Source organism: Homo sapiens, chromosome 6 (assembly GCF_000001405.40).
Source record: "Homo sapiens chromosome 6, GRCh38.p14 Primary Assembly".
In the NCBI taxonomy this organism is placed as follows: domain Eukaryota; kingdom Metazoa; phylum Chordata; class Mammalia; order Primates; family Hominidae; genus Homo; species Homo sapiens.
The window spans coordinates 116,493,838-116,505,853 of NC_000006.12; the positions used below are offsets into that span (position 1 = coordinate 116,493,838).

Sequence of the window (12,016 nt, forward strand, 5' to 3'; positions counted from 1 at the left end):
CAAGGCCTGGAATATTTTCAGGATAGCTAGTTGGGTGCTAATTTAAGAGGGAGGGCCTTAGGCATGAATATCTTGGGTTCCTGGGAGGAATGCATATATTATAAATGAGAAAGAGGCAACTGAGCAGAAGATGGAAAAAATCCTAAAAAGAAGCTTTAGGATAGAGTGTAGGCAAGAATTCTTATGGAGGCATCAGTTTAAAATACATGACATTGTGATACTCCTTCTAATGTCAGATATCTTCTTCCAGATTCTATTCCTGGTCTTCTGTGGAGCAGGTTTGAAGGTTCTTCCATCGATGCCTCAGCTGTGTGCCAATGACCCTATTTCCTTTATGCCTATTGCAATGTCCTTTTTAAGAGACAGTTGACTAAGTGGAGAACAAACAATTTCCCTGCAGTGTTCTAAAGTCCAAAAATGTAGAATTTCAGTGGTCATTTATATCGTTTAAACTGTACCCATTGGTACAGTTTTAGACATTTATTGCATCCTGATTTTAAAGGGGTGGGGAAAGAGAGAGAGAGAGAGAGACAGAGAGAGAGAGAGAGATTATGTGCCTTGCCCAGGATCAGTCACTACTCAGGATCAGCTGAAGCCCCTAGAAACAGAACTGGACAGGGACTCAGAACAGGCTCCTGAATCCTAATTGACGTCTATCACGAACATATCACTTATACCAGTTTTATTTATTTTGATTATTTTTTAATTTTTATTTTTTTGTGGGTACATAGTAGCTATATTTATTTATGGGGTACATGAGATATTTTCATACAGGCATACAATACATAACAATCACATCGGGTAAATGGGGTATCCATTACCTCAAGCATTTATCTTTTCTGTCACAAACAATCCATTTTTATCTTAATTACTATTAAATGTACAAAAAATTATTATCAACTGTACTTACCCTGTTGCACTGTCAAATACTTGATCTTATTCATTCTTGTACATTTTTTTTTTAAGACAGGGTCTCACTCTGTTGCCCGGATTGGAGGGCAGTGGCACAATCATGGCTCACTGCAGCCTCAACCTCCTGGCCTTAATCAATCCTCCCACTTCAGCCTCCTGAGTAGCTGGGACCACAGGTATGCACTATACATACATATATATATATATATATATTTTTTTTTTTTTTTTTTTTTTTTTGTAGAGACAGGGGTCTATGTTACCCAAGCTGGTCTCAAACTCCTGAGCTCAAGCAATCCTCCCACTTTGGCATCCCAAAGTGCAGAGATTACAGGCTTGTGCCACCATGCCCGACCCAGATCTTATTCATTCTATCTAACTATATTTTTGTACCCATTAACCATCTCCACTCCTCTTGAAACTACCCTTCCCAGCCTCTGATATCCATCATTTTACTCCATATCTCCATGAGTCCACTGTTTTAATTTTTAGCTCCTACAAATAAATGAGAACATGCAAAGTCTGTCTTTCTGTCCTGACATATTTCATTGAACATAATGACCTCTAGTTCCATCCATGTTTTGCAAATGACAGGATCTCATTCTTCTTTATGGCTGAATAGTACTCCATTGTGTATATGTACCATATTTTCTTTATTTCATTAATCTATTGAAGGACACTTAGATTTCTTCCAAATCTTAGCTATCGTCAGTAGTTCTGCAGTAAACATGGGAGTGCAGATATCTCTTTGATATACTGATTTCCTTTATTTTGGGTATATATCCAGCAGTGGGATTGCTGGATCATATGATCATTCTATTTTTTGTTTTTTGAGGAACCTCCAAACCGTTCTCCATAGTGGTTATACTAATTTACATTCCCACCAACAGTGTACCAGAGTTCCCTCTTCTCCACATCTTTGCAAGCATTCACTATTGCCTGTTTTGGATAAAAGCCATTTTTAACTAGGGTGAGATAATATCTCATTATAGTTTTGATTTGCATTTCTCTGATGACCAATGATGTTGAGCACCTTTTCATATACCTGTTTGCCATTTGTATGTGTATGTCTTCTTTTGAGAAATGTCTATTCAGATCTTTTGCCCATCTTTAATTGGATTATTAATTTTAATTTTTTCCTATGGAGTTGGTTGAACTCCTTATATATTCTGGTTATTAATAGCACAAGGGTGTCAGATACATAGTTTACAAATATTTTCTCCAATTCCGTAGGGTGGTATCACACTAATTATAACTTGTACTTGCAATTTGGGCTCTCTGCAGAGCCCAGTAGATTCTGGGCTGCCTTGTAGGCCGCCCTTGTGTGCCAGTGGTCTGGTGAAGATTACTGTGTATTTAATTCGGTACACTTGAATTTTAAATGTGTTCTGGTCACAAAGAAAACATCCTTTGGAAGATTTTTTAGAGGATGAAAATGATAGTAGAAATTCTGAATTAATAAGCTTTGGGGTAAGAAAGTAATTTCAAAGAATATTATTTATCCTTTATTTTAGAAGTTTCCTGGCCTGACCATCAAGCAATATTTCATGAGAAAAGGAAGGAATTTGGTTGATGCCAGCTATATTAAAACTAAATAAATTAAAATTAAATGTTATTTATAAATGTTTCAAAATTATCATTGAATAAATAGCTTGACTTGGTGATTACAAATCAAGGGTAGCGTCAGAAGGCTAAAGCTATAAGCCAAGCTAATACATGAGAAAAATCAAATCATATTTTTTTAGAAATATGGAATTATTTATTTAAGGAATGCAATATACAGTATCTAGAAACTACTGTCTATATATAGGAAACTCTATGCTATATCATTTCATTCTTTTTTTTTCAGCAAAGAGACAAATACACAACTGTTTGTATTTGTGCTGCTTTTTTTTCCCATTACCATACGTGAATGGAATGAACAGCTTCTCTGAGGATGGATAGTGTAAGATGTGGAATTCCTGCCTGCTATCTTGTAAGGAGCTATTTGCATATGAAATTTTGTGGACATGAGATTGAAAATGCGTGATTTATAAGCAAAAGGAAAAAAAAACCTTTAAGCCTTCATGCCCTGCATTTCAAATTTCTGGCTGATTTATAAACCTTTCAAAGCTCATGCTATGAAGCAATTCAAAATTTCTATGTCTATACATGTTTAGCTAACATTAACTCAGCTAGCCGCCCCGTGGCATTTTCCGTGCTAGTCTTCATTTTTTCCCTCTATATTTTTTCTCGTCTCGCTTTTTTAGAAATGTTATTCCTATTTCTGTCACACTGTCACCTTTTAGTCTGTCTTGCAAGAATGTAACATCAGCCGCCAAATGAACCTAGGAAAGAAGAAAAAAACAGGCCTGTGTCATTCAATTAAAAAACAAAAAACTAAATTTTCTCAGTCTTTTTTCAGCTTTCTTTACTTTCCTTAAGAAATGATTTTTAAAAAAGCTTGTTCGTGGATAAAGGGCCCTTTACTGAGTGTCCTCCGGAGATGGTCCAGCTGTGTGTCAGCTCTGTGGTGTGAATCTGCAAAGAGGAGGGTGGTCCAGGCCAACTAGGATGACTGGGACACCCAGCCTCTGCCAAGCTTAGCTCAATGTGCAAGGCTGAACTCTGGATCCATCTTCAGAAGAACACAAATTCCCAGCTCGGGGATAGCCTTGACCCACTGTGCTTAGCCAGCAGAATTTCCAAGAATAAATGGATTCTTAAATGATTGCTCTCAAACAGATTTGCCATAAATCATTCTGTCATTAGCTGAATAACATAATCACTTATCCTAACAACATTTAGCAGTCACTTATGGCTTTGAGAGCTTTGAGAATAATATCAATTAAATGAATTATAGATATAAAATTAAAGATTGAATTTACAGACATGAATATTTGATACTCAGGCCTTCTTTTTCTCTGTAAGGTATTTCCCATTTCCCAGGCACTGAAGTAAGCAGGGCTTACTTCTTTATTCATTAAAATGTGTCCACATAAGAGCAGCATGATATTGCTGACCTACCCCCAATAGTGTATTTGTTCAGAGTTATTTTGATTTATTGGGAAAAATAAGATAAATAAGTAAAAGCACCTAGTAAAAGCAAATAATATGTGAAAAATGCCCACATGTAGCAGGCAATTAATTGATGTTTATTGAATCTTACCTAACTCAGTCCCCTCTCTCACTAAGAATTCCTTAGCTAGCCAGCCTCAATTTGTTAAACCATTAGTGTACCAAATTATCTGGCTCATACTGGGCCCGGCCTTGCAATGCCTACCATTTAACAGAGGATGTAGATTGCACTTGGAAATACAGAAGCAACATTCATCCTCAACTTTTTCTTCCATAAGACTTTTTAAGTCTTTGTCAAAATTTAACAGAACATAAATTAAATTAACAGGGAGACAATGTTGAAGCTATTTGGATATTTGGGGACACATGAGGTCTGATACCAGCTGTCATTCAGCAAATATAATCAACTGCTATTTATGAGAGTGGAAGACATTCTTATCCTATTATTGGCTTGGTTTTATGGTTTTTCCCTTTGCCCATAAACACTTATAATGCTTTCCCACCTCTTCCTTGATCTCATGGCCACCGACTACAGGACAAGTCTAAAAAGATGCTAGGGTAGACGCATGGAGAATCTGTGTGAACAATACATTATTTCTATTGTTTTATGCTTTTGGATTACTTGTTATTCTATTTTCCCCTAATTATCACAAATAATTTAAAATTACATGCATGCCTCATTATTAGGTAGCTCAATACATGGCAAGACTTTGGTTGCTATCTGGTTCCACCATTCTTAATAGCTAAGCTTCTGGGAAAATGAGACTTTGTTGACTGTTACCTCTTCTTAAGCTGTTGTTGGCTCACCAATCTATGACAGATTGTCTTCTTTTCCTCCACTTTCCCAAAGGAGCTTTTACCAAGGCCCTTCTGGGTCTTTTGGTTCCTAAATGTTGTGAATATTTTTCAGGTCCGGTTTAACTTAGACTCTTTGCTGTACTTGTTCTTATTAATCAGTCTGTCCTCTTGAAATGATCTCCTCTCTTGTTTCTATGACTCCTTCTTTTCCTACCTCTGATTTCTTTTTCTTGGTATCCTTTTCAGCCTTTGTGCCCTCTGTTTAACCTACTTATTATATTTTATTGCTTCCTATGGTTCTGTTACTCCCTTTTATTCTTGCTCTACAGACTCTGCCTAGGCATTCTTTTCCTATTCTAATGCTTCTTCAATCCATGTCTCTCTGTGATCTCCAGACAGGGATAAACAACTGCTTGCTGGATAGCCTCACTTGCATGTGTTAAACACCTCAACTCCAGCAGGCTCAAAATCGAACTCCTCACTTTGTCTCTACCAAGCCCAGATGTACTCCTCTTGGTTTTGTTCCTCTTGGTTTAATAGTACAACCATCTCTACAGGTTTCTCAGAAACTTACAAATCATTCTTGAATCTTTTTCTCAATTTCATTCCTTTCAGCCAGTTCATAACCTAGTCCATAACCTGTTCCATCTTTTTGATGTTGTTCAAATGGTCTTCCTCTCCCCATTCCTGCAGTCAGGGTTTTGTTCTCGTTTTACCTGAGGTTACCATCATAACTTCCAAAGTGCCCTAATCCTTTCCTTCAGCATTGTTCCCTCTGATATACTTTCATTTGGTTGATAAAGAAATGAAATTCCTAAAACACAAATTTCAAAATATTATTCTACTGTTTATAAACCTATATTGATTTCTGTTGCTTTCAATATAAAAATCTGAATTTCCAAGCTTGTCATATGAATCCCTTTTCTTAAAATCAGGCTTCTGTAAAGAATTTAAGCCTCCTTTCTCATGACAATCTGTCTCCCAATTTATATGTCAGTCATACTGAACTAATTCAAGTTCTTTGTTCCTTGAGTGAAACACTCTTTTTGTACCTTTGGACATGCTGATTCTTCTACCTGTTAGATTATTTTTCTCCTGCTCCTCTTACCCAAGGCTTTTATCTAACTCCTATTTTTCCTTCAAAAGCCAGTTTAGAGTTTCCTTAGGAAGTCTACAAGTTTTTCCTGCCACACGTCCTCTCATAGCCTTAATTATACTTCTTTGTACATCTGACTTTTCCATTAGACAGAAGATTCTTTAAAGACAGCAACTATGTCTTGTTCATCTGTGTATACTCAGTGCCTGACACTTAGCAGATACTAATAACTGTTTCAGTTAAACCAATGAATAATTCAGGTGTAAAATCCAGCCTCCACAATGGTCAATGATCCCTGCCTCCTGTTATTCACACCCTCAGGTAGCACCCTCCTACATGGCACCAGGGTTGGCAGCATAAGTGGCCATGTTGTGATTAGATCTACAAAGAGGTCCATGTGGCCAGGAACTTCATGAAGCTTCCTGCCAACTGCCAGCAAGGCACTGGGGCTGTGTGAGTGAGCTTGGAAGTAGATTCTCCAGCCTCAGTCAAGTCGCCAGAGGTTGCAGCCCTGGCCAGCAGCTTGACTGCATGTGTATTAAGCCATGAAAGACTCTGAATGACAACCACTTAGCTAAGCTGCTCCCAGATTTCTGATCCTCAGAAACTGTGTGAGATAATAAACGTTTGTTTTTTTAAGCTGCTACATTTTGGGGGTAATTTGTAACACACCATTAGATAACCAATATACCCAGCAAAATGAATTATGTATATTGGTTATCTTATTTTAGCCTTAGAAGGACTAAGAGATTCTTCATTCATTCTTCACTTATTCAACTTTACCATTTCCAAGGCACCTCTGATAATCCCACAGAGCAAGTTGCAGTAGCACAGAGAAGATCGCCCAGCAGGGAGCTCTTCCACAAACTCCACCAGGGGATTCTTCTCTAGAATCAGGGAAAATTCATTTTTGCTTGAATTGTTACAGGTCACACTTGGTGTAATTCCCAGGTACATCTTGAAAGCAACCTGATAAGAAAAAAACAAAATTACTAAAACTTGGTCTAGAACAAATAACTATGAGCAGACTAAACAAATACCCAGTTCTAGGCATTGCAGCACAATGGTTAAGCACATGGAGTCTATAGTCAGGAAGTCCGGCTTCACCCTTAGCTTTGCAATTTATTGATCCTATGATGTGAAATTTTTAAATATTTTTACTTGTGAGTCACTTCCAAGATTGTCAAATAGGAACAGCTCTAGTCTATAGCTCCCAGTGAGATCAATGGAGAAGATGGGTAATTTCTGCATTTCCAACTGAGGTACCTGGTTCATCTCACTGGGACTGGTTGGACAGTGGGTGTGGCCCATGGAGAGTGAGCCGAAGCAGGGCAGGGCATCGCCTCATGTGGGAAGTGCAAGGGATCAGGGAATTTCCCTTTCCTAGCCAAGGGAAGCCATGAGTAACTGTACTTGGAGGAACTGTACACTTCTGCCCAAATACTGAGCTTTTCTCACAGTCTTCGCATCTGCAGGAACAGGAGATTCCCTCCCGAGCCTGTGACTGGCTCAGCAGGTCCCACGCCCATGGAGCCTTGCTCACTGCTAGCACAGAAGCCTGAGATCGACCTGAGATGCTGAAGCTTGGCGGGGGGAGGGGTGTCTGCCATTGCTGAGGTTTGAGTAGGCGGTTCTATGCTCACAGTGTAAACAAAAAGGCAGGGAAGATTGAACTGGGTGGAGCCCACCGCAGCACAGCAAGGCCTACTGCCTCCTTAGATTCCACCTCTGGGGGCAGGGCATATCTGAACAAAAGTCAGCAGAAAACTTCTGCACACTTAAACGTTCCTGCCTGACAGCTCTGAAGAGAGCAGTGGTTCTTCCAGCATGGTGTTTGAGCTCCGATAACAGACAGACTGCTTCCTCAAGTGGGTCCATGACCCCCATGTAGCCTGACTGGGAGACATCTCCCCGTGGGAGCTGACAGACACCTCATACAGGCAGGTGCCCCTCTGGGACAAAGCTTCCAGAGGAAGGATCAGGCAGCAATTATCTGCTGTTCTGCAGCCTCCGCTGGTGATACCCAGGCAAACAGAGTCTGGAGTGGACCTCCAGAAAACTCCAACAGACCTGCAGCTGAGGTGCCTGTCTGTTAGAAGGAAAACTAACGAACAGAAAGGAATAGCATCAACATCAACAAAAAGGACATCCACACCAAACCCCATCCATAGGTCACCAACATCAAAGACCAAAGGTAGATAAAACCACAAACATGGGGAGAAACCAGAGCAGAAAAGCTGAAAATTCCAAAAACCAGAACACCTCTTCTCCTCCAAAAGAACACAACTCTTTGCCAGCAAGGGAACAAAACTGGATAGAGAATGAATTTGACAAGTTGACAGAAGTAGGCTTCAGAGGTCAGTAATAACAAACTTCTCCGAGCTAAAGAAGCACATTCTAATCCATTGCAAGGAAGGTAAAAACCTTGAAAAAAGGTTAGACGAATGGCTAACTAGAATAACCAGTGTAGAGAAGAGCTTAAATGACCTGATGGAGCTGAAAACCACAGTACAAGAACTTCATGAAGCATACACAAGCTTCAATAGCTGATTCGATCAAGTGGAAAAAAGGATATCAGTGACTGAAGATCAAATTGATGAAATAAAGTGAGAAGGCAAGATTAGAGAAAAAAGGGTGAAAAGAAATGAACAAAGCCTCCAAGAAATATGGGACTATGTGAAAAGACCAAATCTACATTTGATCAGTGTACCTGAAAGTGACGGGGAGAATGGAACCAAGTTAGAAAACACTCTTCAGGATATTATCCAGGAGAACTTCCCCAACCTAGCAAGGCAGGTCAGCATTCAAATTCAGGAAATACAGAGAACACCACAAAGATACTCCTCAAGAAGATCAACCCCAAGACACATAATTGTCAGATTCACCAAGGTTGAAATGAAGGAAAAAATGTTAAGAGCAGCCAGAGAGAAAGGTTGGGTTACCCATAAAGGGAAGCCCATCAGACTAACAGCAGATTTCTTGGCAGAAACACTACAAGCCAGAAGAGAGTGGGGGCCAATATTCAACATTCCTAAAGAAAAGTATTTTCAACACAGAATTGCATATCCAGCCAAATGAAGCTTCATAAGTGAAGGAGAAATAAAATCCTTTTCAGACAAGCAAATGCTGAGAGATTTTGTTACCACCAGGCCTGCCTTACAAGAGCTCCTGAAGGAAGCACTAAACATGGAAAGGAACAACCGATACCAGCCACTGCAAAAACATGCCAAATTTAAAGACCATTGACACTATGAAGAAACTGCATCAACTACTGGGCAAAATAACCAGCTAGCATCATAATGACAGGATCAAATTCACACATAACAATATTAACCTTAAATATAGTGGGCTAAATGCCCCAATTAAAAGACACAGACTGGCAAATTGGATGAAGAGTCAAGACCCATCAGTGTGCTGTATTCAGGAGACCCATCTCATGTGCAAAGACACACAGAGGCTCAAAATAAAGAGATGGAGGAAGATCTACCAAGCAAATGGAAAGAAAAAAAAAAGTAGGGGTTGCCATCCTGATCTCTGATAAAACAGACTTTAAACCAACAAAGATCAAAAGAGACAAAGAAGGCCATTACATAATGGTAAAGGGATCAATTCAACAAGAAGAGCTAACTATCCTAAATATATGTGCACCCAATACAGGAGCATCCAGATTCATAAAGCAAGTTCTTAGAGACCTACAAAGAGACTTAGACTCCCACACAATAATAATGGAAGACTTTGACACCTCACTGTCAATATTAGACAGATCAACGAGACAGAAAATTAACAAGGATATCAAGGACTTGAACTCAGCTTTGGACCAAGTAGACCTAATAGACATCTATAGAACTCTCCACCTCAAATCAACAGAAATACATTCTTCTCAGCACCACATCGCACTTATTCTAACATTGACCACATAATTGGAAGTAAAACCCTCTTCAGCAAATGTAAAAGAACAGAAATTATAACAAACTGTCTCTCAGACCACAGTGCAATCAAATTAGAACTCAGGAGTAAAAAACTCACTCAAAACCGCACAACTACATGGAAGCTGAAAAATCTGCTCCAATGACTACTGTGTAAATAACGAAATGAAGGCAGAAATAAAGATGTTCTTAGAAACCAATGAGAAAAAAGGCACAATGTACGAGAACCTCCGGGACACATTTAAAGCAGTGTGTAGAGGGAAATTTATAGCACTAAATGCCCGCAAGACAAAGCAGGAAAGATCTAAAATTAACACCCTAACATCACAATTCAAAGAACTAGAGAAGCAAGAGCAAAGAAACTCGAAAGCTAGTAGAAGACAAGAAGTAACTAAGATCAGAGCGGAACTGAAGGAGATAGAGACACACACACAAAAAAACCCTTCAAAAAATCAATGAATCCAGGAGCTGTTTTTTTGAAAAGATCAACAAAATAGATCTACCGCTAGCACGACTAATAAAGAAGAAAAGACAGAATCATCAAGTAGACACAATAAAAAATGATAAAGGGGGATATCACCACCAATCCCACAGAAATACAAACTAACATCAGAGAATACTATAAACACCTCTACGCAAATAAACTAGAAACTCTAGAAGAAATGGATAAATTCCTGGACACATACACCCTCCCAAGACTAAGCCAGGAAGCAGTTGAATCTCTGAATAGACTAATAACAGGTTCTGAAATTGAGGCAATAATTAATAGCCTACCAACCGAAAAAAGTCCAGGACCAGACGGATTCACAGCCAAATTCTACCAAGAGGTACAAAAAGAAGCTGGTATTATTCCTTCTGAAACTATTCCAATCAACAGAAAAAGAGGGAATCCTCCCTAACTCATTTTATGAAGCCAGCCTCATCCTGATACCAAAGCCTGGCAGAGACACAACAAAAAAGAGAATTTTAGGCCAATATCCCTGATGAACATTAATGCAAAAATCCTCAGTAAGATACTGGCAAACCGAACCCAGCAGCACATCAAAAAGCTTATCCACCACCATCAAGTCAGCTTCATCCCTGGGATGCAAGGCTGGTTAAACATATGCAATCCATCACATAAACAGAACCAAAGACAAAAGCCACATGATTATCTCAATAGATGCAGAAAAGGCCTTCAACAAAATTCAACAGCCCTTCATGCTAAAAACTCTCTATAAACTAGGTATTGATGGAATGTATCTCAAAATAATAAGAGCTATTTAGGACAAACCCACAGCCAATATCATATTGAATGGGCAAAAACTGGAAGCATTCCCTTTGAAAACCGGCACAAGACAAGGATGCCCTCTCTCACCACTCCTATTCAACATAGTATTGGAAGTTCTGGCCAGGGCAATCAGGCAAGAGAAAGAAATAAAGAGTATTCAATTAGGAAAAGAGGAAGTCAAATTGTCTCTGTTTGCAGATGACATGATTGTATATTTAGAAAACCCCATTGTCTCAGCCCAAAATCTCCTTAAGCTGATAAGCAACTTCAACAAAGTCTCAGCATACAAAATCAATGTGCAAAAATCACAAGCATTCTTACACACCAATAACAGACAAACAGAGAGCCAAATCATGAGTGAACTCCCATTCACAAATCCTACAAAGTGAATAAAATACCTAGGAATCCATCTTACAAGGGATGTGAAGGACCTCTTCAAGGAGAATTACAAACCACTTCTCAAGTAAATAAGAGAGGACACAAACAAAAGGAAAAACATTCCATGCTCATGGATAGAAAGAATCAATATCGTGAAAATGGCCATACTGCCCAAGGTAATTTATAGATTCAACGCCATCCCCATCAAGCTACCAATGACTTTCTTCACAGAATTGGAAAAAACTCCTCTAAAGTTCATATGGAACCAAAAAAGAGCCCGCATTGCCAAGACAATCCTAAGCAAAAAGAACAAAGCTGGAGGCATCACGCTACCTGACTTCAAACTATACTACAAGGTTACAGTAACCAAAACAGCATGGTACTGGTACCAAAACAGATATATAGACCAATGGAACAGAACAGAGGCCTCAGAAATAACACCACACCTCTACAACCATCTGATCTTTGACAAACCTGACAAAAACAAGAAATAGGGAAAGGATTCCCTGTTTAATAAATGTGTTGGGAAAACTGGCTAGCCATATGTAGAAAGCTGAAACTGGATCCCTTCCTTACACCTTA

At 39.0% G+C, this 12,016-nt stretch overlaps 1 protein-coding gene across 1 annotated transcript in view; it reads right to left on the reverse strand.

Moving 5' to 3' along the window:
- Positions 1-1,151: 1,151 nt before the first annotated feature.
- TRAPPC3L (trafficking protein particle complex subunit 3L) overlaps positions 1,152-12,016 on the reverse strand; it is a 50,696-nt gene continuing 39,831 nt past the window's right edge. The window contains exons 4-5 of the mRNA NM_001139444.3: positions 6,644-6,829; positions 1,152-3,236 (exon numbers count right to left, since the gene is read on the reverse strand). Of these exons, the coding sequence (NP_001132916.1) occupies positions 3,117-3,236; positions 6,644-6,829 (306 nt within the window). The 3' untranslated portion in view covers positions 1,152-3,116. The remainder of the gene's footprint in view (positions 3,237-6,643; positions 6,830-12,016) is intronic.